Here is a 12,496-nt window from a genome sequence, read left to right on the forward strand (position 1 = left end):
GTGGCAGCAGGAGAGAGACACAGAGAGAGAGAGAGCACAAAGGGGTAAGTGTCACACACTTTCAAACCAGATCTCATGAGAACTCACTCACTGTCAGGAGACCACCAAGGGGGAAGTCCTCCTGTATGATTCAATCACTTCTCACCAGGCCCCTCCCCAGCATGTGAAGATTACAATTTGAAATGAGATTTGGATGGGGATACAGAGCCAAACCATATCACAGTCATTCTCTTGGCCCAGTATTCTGGCTGTTCAGATCAGACAGGCACCTCTTATCATCTGTAGGAATATCGAGAGGACATTCAAATAGAGAGGAATTGTTACCTTACCCCTCATGCAAGCCTGAATCTGAAGAGCACTCCTTTGGTGGTGATGCAGTCGCCTTGAAGTGTTCCAGAAAGACCGTTTACAGGTACACCCATGCTGATGTCCCATGAGAGAAGTCCCAGCCGTGTCTGTAGTGATGAATGAGTGGGAAAAGAAGTCCCCTTCTCCCAGACCTCTCACAAGTATCAGGGCTGCCTGAGTATTTGGATAGAGCTGCAGGTATTCCCCGCTGAGCCCAGCACTGCACCTATGCCTCTACTAAAAGAAACTTCCCACCGGCAGAAAAATTTTGGGACTCAAAGCCTGCCATCTGGATTGTTTTGTCCCATGGAATGTTCCTTTGATGTGGTGCATTCTTCTTTCTCTTAGGAGTAGAAAGCCCTGAGAGCTATTCTACCGTGTATGCTGCTGCTCCTCTGGGTCTAGCCGTACAGTGGGGCTGCCACACTTCATGTGGATGCTCCGGAATGTCTGCAAGGGATCCAGTGATGTTACCTGTCCTCAAGTCTGTTTATAGTTACACCCATGCTGAGGTCCCATGAGAGAATTCCCAGCTGTGTCTGTAGTGATGAATGAGTGGGAAAAGAAGTCCCCTTCTCCCAGACGTCTCACAAGTATCAGGGCTGCCTGACTATTTGGATAGAGCTGCAGGTACCCACAGCAGTGGGTACCAACACCAGCTCTGATGGAGGTGACAGGTTAGTGACATAGACCCTGTGAGATTCCTTGGTTATAAATAGCCTTAGTGTGTTGGATTTCTCCAATGCTGGTTGTAGTAGGAATTAACTGGTCATGTGGAAAGACTCAGGACCTCCTGGTTAGCCAGGGTGTTGAAGGCAATGATGATAGCTGAGGTTATGCACAAATTTTCTCCTTCTTGAGCACTGCATTAATCTGCCTGGAGATGACATAATGAACTGTGCCAGCTGACCTCCAGCCAGAAGATGACAGTTGCAAAAGAGTGCCAGTTATGATGGTAACAGTGCGATTTGTGTTTGCCTTATGTTACCTAGGGAGTTATTCTGGATTCTCAAGGAATGACCAGGGACATAGAGCTCCCAAAAGTTTCTGTCTGTTGTGGTAAACTACCAGGGCAGGCTCAGGGGCAAAGCCAGGTGGGGGCTGGATCAGATAGGTCCGTATTCTGTCTTTCCGTGCATGGGACAAGCAATAGCCCCTGTGGGGATTTGTTGATGATTCTCTGGCTGCTGGGATAATGTTCTAGGGGGAAGCAAGGCTGCCTTTGTTGCACAGTTTACATAGGGAGTGTGGAGTAGCAGACAACAGTAAGCCTCACCCAGCTCTCATGTAGTTGGCAAGGCAGGTCTCACCCCTGTAGTGTTCTGCTAGCTACAGCTAGCTAAATTCCAGGCATTCTGCACTTAGAAATCAAAACTGTCCCAGGCCATAAGCCTGACTTTCAGATCATGCTCCTCCTTGACCAACTGTTAAGCAATGGCACCCAGCTCCATCACAGTAGCTGCAACACACTTCCCACTCACCCCCTGGTTCTGGCCAAGGGAGTTCATGAGCACTCAATTATATTGTGAATTTTAGCTGGGAGCTTCTCTTAAGCTGTTACCACCGCCTTATTTAGCTGGCAGACTTCCCTGAGGTCTCCTATGAGGTAGAGTCAGAAACGGTCTCCCTCCAACTACACTGGAGACTGGGAATGCACGCAAGGCTCTTCCAGTAGCCGTACCTACTTTTATATTCCCCATTGCTTCCTAAATCAGTTCCAGAGCTGGGTAGGGTTAAGGCCTTCCCTCGTGGCCTGGGTTGCCAGGTTCCCTGCTGGAAGTATATAACCTGGAGGTAGTTCATCTCCCTCTCAGATTCTGGGAACTTACAGTTTTCCACCAGGCTCACAGTATAGCATGCAGCCTGCAGCTTTTTTTTTTTTTTTTTCAAAGAGTCTGGGGTTTCTTTTAGTTTTTCTAAGTTCCTGAATCTCTTTTTGGAAAAAAGTTCATAGTGTGAGACTCTACACATTAGTTTGTCTTTCTATGTGGGAGAGGCATGTTAACAATGCATTTTTTTCATTAGATCCTTGTTCTATAAGTTTTTTTCTGTTTTTTCCTTCTCTTTTTCCTTCCTTCCTTCCTTCCTTCCTTCCTTCCTTCTTTCTTTTTTTTTTTTTTTTTTTTTTTTTTTTTTGATGTAGTTTAGCTCGTTAGCCTGGCTGGAGTGCAATGGTGGACCTCGGCTCACTGCAACCTCATCCTCCTGGATTGAAGTGATTCTCCTGCCTCAGTCTCATGAGTAGCTGGGACTATAGGTGCATGCCACCACACCTGGCTAATTTTTTTTTTTTTTTTTTTTTTTGTATTTTTAGTAGAGACGAGGTTTTGCCATGTTGGCCAGGCTGCTCTCAAACTCCTGACCTCAGATGATCCACCCGCCTCAATTTTAATTGTTATTTTCTTTACTTTTAAAACATTTTGTTAAAAATGAAAACACAAACACACATGTTAGACTGGGCCTACACAGAATCGGGATCATCAATATCATTGTCTTCAACCTCCACATCTTGCCCACTGAAAGGTCATGTTGGACAACATGTGTGGAGCTGTCATCTCCTATGATAACAATGCTTTCTTCTGGAATATCTCCCTAAGGAACCAGCCTGAGGATCTTTTACACTTAACTTTATTTTTATTTTTTAAGTAGAAGGAATACCTAAAATAACTATAAAAGTATAGTAGAGTAAATACATAAACCAGTAACATGGTAGTTTATAATCATTATTAAGTATTACATACTATACATAATTATATGTGCTATACATTTATGAAGGTAGGTTCATTTACACCAGCATCACCACAAACATGTAAGTAATGTGTCGTCCTATGAAGTTGTGATGGCTACAGCATCACTAGAGGGCAGAAATTTTACAGCTCCATTACAATCTTATGGAACCACCATCCTATATGCAGTGGATTATTGACTGAAACTTCATTACGTGCTATGTGACTGTAATGTACATTAACTGTCTTAAATAAAAATCTAAAAGTTTTTAACCTTTTATTTCTTGCCTTACTGCTGTTCTTTTTAAAATTATTCGTTTTAAATAACTAGAAATACTTATATTGAAATTGCTCCCAAATCAAGATTCTAAAAATATATGGCACCTATTCTAACAAAATATTCTCAGGGGAATTTTGAAAAGTTCTAAAACGACCCCTCAAAAATGCCCACCACAATTATTTTTATATGGCTAGTAATACATCATGTACACATTCTTAGAATGGTAAATTTTAGGGGTATATCTATATTATTAGATGAAAAGATAAAGCACTGTTTGATTAAGTATTTATATAGTGTTATTTTCTCTCATTTTGGCAACATAGTGATGATTATTACAGATATATTTCTGTTCAAGGTCAAAATACTATTCTAATACTGACACAATTTATTTTACATGTTAGACATAAATTCTCGCTTTCATTTAAAAAGTTTTATGTTATGTCTGAGACATTATGTTCAGAACTATTTTCACAATGTCAACTAATATTTGAGTAAGTTTTGCTTTGAAAATTTCCTAGACAAGTAACTAGATTTTATTTAATGCATTCAATATTTAAACTTTTTGTTAACACAAATTTATTATTATAGTAAATCAGATATTCCGTAAATAACTATATAAAAATATACTTACCAAAAAATATAGGTAATAGAAGCACTCGGGCTGAAAATATCACTAATGAAATATTATATAGGGATTTTTTTATTCCTGTGATTAGCAGTTCTTGAGCTTTTTATTATTTGAGAAAGAGCAGTAATCTTAGAATTTATTTCTCTACATAGATAAAGTTTAAAGAGTACATATGTATGAAATAATCAGTACACACACAGCACTCAAGCCATGCTTTCTATATCTTGCACTTTTGCCATTAATGTGTAGATGGAGAGGCATGCATAGTTTTTTTTATTGTTTTCATTTTTTATTTTGACATGTAAATTTGGGTTAAGTATAAAAATTCAAGCTATATCTTTACTGATTAAAACATTTCTGGTAGAATCATTGCAGGTGAGTGAAAGAACAAACAGAAATCAAAGGAGAAAATTTATTTCAATTGATTGCAGAAGAGTGAAATTGTTACAAAACCCCCAAATTTAAGTTTGAGTACCCAATGCACAATAAGCCAAACACTGATACATCAGCGCTTAGGAAGAGAGAAAGGCATTATTTGATTTGGCCAAAATGAGAGAGTGCGAGAGGCAAATTCTCAAATCCGACTTGCCTTTGAACATAACCAGAAGCTTTTATGAGTAAGGTCGGTATGCGGGAGGTGAGATCTCCTAGTCAAAGCTGTGTCCATCCCTCCTCTGATCAGACTTCTGGATGCCATCAAGGAGGTCTGCATAACCTAAGATTATTGTTCTTTAAAACAAAAACAATCTCATTAATCTTGTAGGCAACACTTGGGGGTTAGAACATGAAGTTAATCAATTACTAGTGACTATCTTCTATCAAAATGACTGTGTGCAAGCAAGCATGCATGCAGGAAGAAAAGGACAAAGAGAAAGAAAATAAGTGAAACAAACACCTTATGATTTTTATAAGTTACAAACTGATATAAATGGGATTCAAGGACAAAATAGAAGTTTTAATAGTATTAGCATGTGTCACCTGTTCATGAGGCCTCTAAAACCTGCTTACACATACTCAATTTTAGTACACCCCTACACTTCGTGGACATTAGCATATATGCAATGGCTTTACTTACAGACTGAAAATTCAGGAAAGTAAGCATCACAAAAAATTAAGCAAAAGATAGAGAATATGTTTGTGTGAGTGCATGTAAGCATCCTTCTCAAGTCTCCTAGATATCTATGATACAATAAACATGAACTTGATAGCACATTAACAGTGACACTTAGTTTCCAAGTTAAGCTTCTTCTTTAGATGTTTTGGCTAACAATGACAATTATACACTTTAGGCTGACTTAAAATTCTTTCATTTTACCAACTTTACAAATGTGATATTATATTGATATAAGTAAAATAGTGAATGTTTTTATGCTTGATTGTTTTATCTCTTGCCTTTCAATTACAACAAAAACTTAAGAAAAGCTAAGTTATTTAAAAGAAGACAGAAAGAAAATAGGTAAATTGCTATTTTATTTCCTATTCAAAATATTCTAAATAAGAATCAGTATGTTAAATGTTACTAGCAACCAAGGATAGTAATGCCCATTTATTACTATTTTACACATAAGAAACTGAGACAATGAAGTTAGGTCAGTATCCCATAGCACTCACTCCTAGCTGAGAGCTCAGCTGGGATGAGAATCTCCTTTTTAAATTTTTTTTCTAAAGTCTGTAATGTTCCTATCATCCAAGGTTCTCTCTAAAACATAAAATTGTCCAGAATTAATTACTGTTGCATATGCCGTCAATTCTAAACACTTTGAAAGTCATTTTTATTGACCTTGTCAAGATGTTATGCTACACTGATTAAAATATAGTTGACAGTTAATACTCTAAAAAGATCCCCTTTGAGTATTGTGGTCATTGATGGATTCACATGCTAGTAGAAACTCTACATTTTTCAGTAAAATTTAGATAAAATTTTAGATTTTTTATCTCCAACACAAAAGAAAATATTTCTTGTAGTTTTAGGAAAGTTGATATAATTGTCAAACCATTCATATAAACAACCTATTGAATTTACTTTAATGTCAATAATGGCCCATCAATATAGATTAAGCCACATGTAAATCTTTCATATAACACTTTCAAATAATTACATTTTAAACATTTACATTTCAACACAGTGGGATAGTGTAAACTTCATCTAGCAAAGGTAGTACTATTTATATTACATTCCCTATTGCATTTTGCCTATCAATGTATGTGAAAGTTAAAATATTGATCTGTACTCTATTGGTGTATAATCATTAATAATCAAGAATAATGAATAGTCATTATTAAAATAGCAACGAATAATCTTTAATTTTTGAGATATCATAGAAAATTTGGAATAACATCATTTATTTAAAATATGAAATATATGCACATTAATGTAACATTTAGCTTCTTTAGAATATTCCCATATAAGAGAAGGCTATAAGTAAATGAATACATAAATATAAAGAACATATTTACTTTTTTTTTCTATGCAGGAGTCCATTTAACAAAGTATAACGGAAGATAAGTTTCTTGAAACATTTTTAAAAGTGTAATATAGGTACGCATTCTGATTTCTTACCATCTGTCCTTATATATACCAAGTTTGACATTACCTCTGCCAAAACAGAGAATGGCATATCCTGTCAAGCACCTAATGTTTTCTGAGTAAACTCTTGTTTTGAATGATATTACTGAATCAGGTTAATCGAATGATTCCATTAAAGGTGTTTTCACAGCCTGAGTTTCTGCTGTTATATTCAATTGTTTTAATTACCTTGATCTTCATTAGATTTAAATGTTCTTTTTTTCCGTTTGCTAAACATAGATTCGAGTTTCATATTATAATAACCTGAAAGTAAATCAAAGAGGAAAATTTAAAAAGAGACTAATTAATTGTGATGCCTTTATATTCCACTGATTTTTTTTTATTAGAGAAGGTTTAAATTGTTCATCTTCACATTTTATCACTTCATTAGGAAAAGCAACCTGTATTACCCAAGTTCAAAACTAACATCCAACAGGAGCCGTAAACTCTGATCTTGCTAGATTGAGCACTGCCTTTTATCTTCTTTCTCATAAATACAGAGATAAAATAGAGACTCAGCTGGATGCACCCTTTAGCAATTATTTCCCCTATGATCTTCACACTAGGATAACAGGCCACATGTGAAAAGACTTATGCACTCTGATAAAGATTCTCAGTACAAATTCGGTTTTACTGTATTTCATTCTGACATTTCTTACACAGGTGTTTTTTTTTGGTGACTTGCTTATTTAAGAGGTGCCACTTCTTATAGATGGCTAACTATTAAACTTTTTGAAGCTTTGGCTTTATTCTGCTTTTGCCATGACATAATTTAAAAAAAAAAAAGCGATGTCTGCCTGAAGTGATAATTGCATCATTTACATACTGTGAAAATTCAGGAAGGAGAAAGTCGGTTCTATTGTGTATTACAATGAAAAGATTAGACATGAGAATGATATTTATCAAGATATTTATAAATAAATGCTCTGACTTCATGTCTTACATGTCATGCCAATATTTATTATAGAATCTGAGAATATAAATACTTACTCCTTATTTAATGTGAAGATAATCCAGCGCAAGGATGAGAAAGCACTCCATAGTTTAGTTTTGTTTCCCTGGCAGATTTTAATGTAGCTTTAAAATCCACACTGAACTTAATATTTTGTACTACTATATTTTACTCTTAAGGTTTTATTTCTAAATAATCATTTTAATTTTATGCGTATATTATATTATTGTCTGAGATCATGTCTATGTCTTTCCAAAACTTTGCTAATGAAGAAACTTTAAACTCGAAGTTTTACATTTACTTTACCTGAACTTAACCCATAAAGTATTATGAAAGTATTTCTTCCCACTCATGACACTTTGTCACATTCATTTATACTGATTATTTTTAGTATTCTATAACTAATCTGGAATATGTGAAAAGGTCATCTTTCCTCATATGGGATATATAAAGCATCAGGCAAAAATGGCATCTCAAAACACAGTTCTGAAAATAAAATAAATTATCAAAAAACAGATGCTGGTTTTCAGGGTCGCAATATCTCATAATCAAATTTTTTACTTGAAGGGGGCACTTCCTTGTGAGTTCTTGATTTATATCATCCAGAAAACCTCCCCACGAAGGAAAATGCTTTTGATATTTTTCTTCCTCCCGGTTAGCTATCCAGGCTCATCAATATTTTCTCTTGAGCATGACAAGAGAGATTTCTACTATAATATAATGATGTCCATCATCAAAAATTTCTACTGAAAGATAATTCCAACTATGAGATTATAATTCTTAGAAGTGTAGTTCTAGGAGTATAAAATATTCCATTAATAACAGATTATTGACTGTATGGTCAAGCAAAAAATGTCATAACATGAAAAGCAAATACAAAAGTGAGAGAAGAATGTTTCTTCCCCAAATGTATTCTTATGGTGAAAAAGGCCTGTTTAAATCACTATTTCTAGGAATACAAAGAGGCTCAGAGATTTTATTTTTTCTAAGTCTTCCTCAGCTCTTCTCCCTCCTGCTTGCAGTTCTCAGAATTTATCAAGAATGCAGCATCCAGAGATAAAGGGGAGATGTCTGAAATAACCCAGACTATGTCCTTATTCCTCTCAGAACAGGATGTTCTGCAAACCTGAACTCAGTGTGACAAGTCGTTTCCAATGTAAAACCCACAATGGAGTGCTCTCAGGTCCCTTAGCTGCAGTGTGTTGTGAGGCATGCACAGACGAGACTATTTAACCTAGGCAGTTTTCCTGAACTTTGGAGTTCAGCTTGCAATGGATCCTAGGGCTTGTTTATCCTTGATGCCTATCTGCGAATGATATGTATACTTCGCTTGACTTGTTGTGCCAGTATTCTGTCTCAGCAGACTCATGCAATTGATAGAAAACCTTTAGGGTGAATCATTGCAAGGAAGCAAGAATGGAAACTATAAGACCTCATAAGGCCTCAAAGTTAGACAACATCATTTTGCGACTTTGTGTTGGTCTGTGTGAGTCACAAGGCCAGTTCAGGTATTAGACGTGGGAAAATGGCTACTCAGCAGCAATCAACTTACTGGGTTGTAGACAGACGAAGAGTGATTTAGTCAGGACCATTATTGTGAAAATCTACCTTCTGCAAAGAGTATTATTAAATTGACATAAGCAATGGTAAAATGTAATTTAAATACAATTTGGATGTAAACTCAAGCGGTAACGCTATTTTTTATCACCATTTATTTTCTATCACCATTTATTTTTTATCACTATTTATTTTCTATTTCTATCACTTGACCTTAACTAGCACTAAAACCATGTAGCGTTTCTTTTTAAAAAATTTGTCTATCTGGGTGATAGACACTGTTTTAACAATAAATAGTTATTAAAATGGATGTATATAATTAATAATTTATCATTAAGAACTAAAAATGGACAAGGATAATCTGCAGACCTCTGTGAAATAAAAATAGACCTATGTTTATCACTATGTGGTACATTCCCCCAAAAAGTACTTATGTGAAATATTGCTAAGAATATAATATAGGATATTGGAATGAGAAGTAAGAGCTTTCATGAAAGAACAGTTTGAAGTGAATTGGAGAAAATTTTCAGAAGTGTGCAGTTTGTTATAATTTGTATTGTATATTTAATAAGATTAATTTATTTAAATATATTTAGTTGACATAAAAATTGTATATATATTATGTATACATATATATATAGCATACCAATTGTATGTATAGTATATATTAACACATCTATCACCACACACAGTTACCATTTGTGTGTATGCATGCATGTGCATGTGTGTGTGTGTGTTTGTGTAGGATACTTAAAATTTTCCTTATCAAATTTCAAATAAACAATACAATATTGTCAACTATACTCACCATGCTCTATGTTAGTCCCATAACTTACTTATCTTACAACTGAAAGTTACCAACATTTTCCCAATCCACTTCCCCACCAGCCTCTGACAACCACCTTTTCACTCTCTGCCTTTATGAGTTCTATTTTTTCAGATTCTACATAAAAGTGAGATCATGCAGTGTTCATTTTCCTCTGTCTGAGTTATTTACTTAGTGATTGTTGTTGCAAATGGCAGGATCTTCTTCTTTGAGTGAGATTTTTGAGATGCCTATATGTAAGGGGAAATGAAAGGGTTACTTACAATTTCTGTTCTTTCTAAAGGTAATATTTTTTCTGTATTTTTAAACTTAAGACATTTACAAATCATATAAATCACATCCAGGAAGTTTAGTAGAGGGTGGGTTTTTTTTAAAAAAATTGTTATCTATATTATTATGCTGTTTAATAATTATTACATATATATGCATTTAATAAAACTGTAAGAAAAGAGAGATTATCATCAAATTTCATAACTATTTTCATGGTTACATAACATTTTTCTGCCTACTGATCTTGCTCTTTCTCTAGTTCAGGATGTTGATTATTTCATGCTGTTAAGAATATTTGATACAATCCCATGATCAGCAAGACCCTAGGAGAAAATGAAAAGGATTGTGTCAATAGAGAGGCTGGTGCTCTCCCACTGCCTTTTATTGTTTGTACATTGCATTTCTTGGGTTTCAAAATAAAAGACTTTACTCTGTCCATAGTGTTTATTATTATTATAGATTTTAACAACAGAAATGTAGAGATTATATACATAATGCATCCCCACATTTGATAGCACGAATATAGAGTTGGTGATGATTACAAATGCTCCTTCTAAAATATCGAATAAGATGTACTGATTAGTTATCACTTGCTTTTAATGATTTATGTGTGTTGCGCTTATGAACTGAGAAACCAAAGCTCTCTCTGATACATTCTTATGACTGACCTGCAGATAGAATATAATCAGTCAAAAACTTGAGCATCATTTCCTAAAGAAAATCAATATTTATTAAGACATGAGTTATATAGTGTTATAAAATAATTTTAAATAGCTCCTTGGAAAACCAATGTATATTGTTAGAAATTGAAAACGATACTGAAATTTTAAATTACAAATAGAGTAAAATTGATAAATGGAATAATTTCATAAATTATAGTAAGTGTGATATCATGAGCCCACTTCAATTTTTCTATGGCCCATAAAATTTCTCTAGGAGTCTATCTGCATGAAGGATTGAGGAAACTCCCCAAAAAAGTGGAAAAGATAGTGAGGAATGTTTTTTATGTGCAGTGCTGTAAGTTTAAGAGAAAGAAAATGAAAGATATTTAACAGACCATGGTGCATGTCATTTAGAATAAAAGTCTCCCACCCATTTTCCACACAAACACACACATTCTTCACCTCTAACTCTCTAGGGAATAAGTAGAGTGAATTGTTGAAAAGAACGTAAAAAAAATTTTCAAACTAAATAGCTGTGAGAAGACTCCAATAACAACCCAATGGTGCCTTTGTACCAAAATAATAGAATGTGTCACAAAAGTGGAAATAGGAGTTCTGTCTCCTTGGGTGGGATGAATTCAGGGCAGGGCAGTGATGTTGTCAGGTTATTTCTGTGATACTAACAGAAGGCAGATGCTGTGCTACATGTGTTGCCTTCTGCAAAAACAGGGTTACTGAGCAGCATCTAACGAAGAGCCTGATACCTATTAGTATTTAATTAAATATGTATGTAATCAATGAAACTGAACTGGTACTGTTGCATATCCTAGCTTAAGAAAGAGATAATGATTTATTCAATTGCACTAACAATGTCTTGAGTGGTGCAGCAGTGCAGGTGGTAGGAATTGTAGAACTTGTATTTAATACTTATGAATAATTTTAGCAGCTCCAGAAAGTAACTCTGGTAACTTTAAAAGGAACATGATTCAAAAGCATTATAATAACATTTAGTTTCCTTTATGATCACCTTTTTCAGGTATCAAGAATGGTGCTTCCTTCATGAATAGTACAGGCCTTGCCAACGGATGAAATTGACAGAAATAAGAGGGAATTATTTAATTTACTTTGGAGGTTGAGAGAGACTTTTCTTAAACACACAATAAATGCATCACAGGGGCTCAGATGTTTCTGGCAAGATTATGAAGATAGACTGATTGGTGTTCATGTATTGTGATGGTAGAGACTGGGATCAGCAAAATATTATGTATGCAGTTGACATCTTACACGAAGAATTTGGAGTATGGACATTACATGATTGTCTCTCAGCCACCCTATGGAAAACAGAATTGTCTGGCTCTACCTACCTGGAATTTCAACCCATAAATTTAACTCAATTATTTGTAGCAGAGGTTCTTAAATAAAGCAGCATTATTTAGAATTATCTTTGAATCTTTAAAGATATACTGATGTCCAGAACCCATCCTCCATGATTTTGAGGTGAGGCCAAAGCATGTATTCTTAAAATTCTCTCCAAATAATTGAAATATGCAGCCAGGTTTGGGAACCACTTACTTGGAAGAAAGTTTGTATGCTCCAGTGACAAGAGTAGCACACCTTGGTCTTCTGAATTAACCTCACTGGCTAATAGCAATGAGTCATAATTAATAAGAACTTTTAAAAT

At 35.0% G+C, this 12,496-nt stretch overlaps 1 long non-coding RNA gene across 1 annotated transcript, besides 1 other annotated feature; it reads left to right on the forward strand.

The window, feature by feature from the left end:
* Positions 1-9: 9 nt before the first annotated feature.
* Positions 10-12,256, forward strand: LOC105377815 (uncharacterized). Its single transcript, XR_942026.3, has 3 exons — positions 10-44; positions 286-412; positions 11,852-12,256. It is a non-coding gene; the product is annotated as an uncharacterized LOC105377815 (long non-coding RNA).
* Positions 6,807-7,308: an enhancer, noted in NCBI's record as "NANOG hESC enhancer chr13:64427887-64428388 (GRCh37/hg19 assembly coordinates)". NCBI's record gives its function as "activates a minimal SCP1, AML or CMV promoter by ChIP-STARR-seq in naive H9 embryonic stem cells {active_cell/tissue: H9 hESC(naive)}" and the evidence as "EXISTENCE:reporter gene assay evidence [ECO:0000049][PMID:30033119]".
* Positions 12,257-12,496: the final 240 nt, after the last annotated feature.

Source organism: Homo sapiens, chromosome 13 (genome assembly GCF_000001405.40).
Source record: "Homo sapiens chromosome 13, GRCh38.p14 Primary Assembly".
Lineage (NCBI taxonomy): Eukaryota > Metazoa > Chordata > Mammalia > Primates > Hominidae > Homo > Homo sapiens.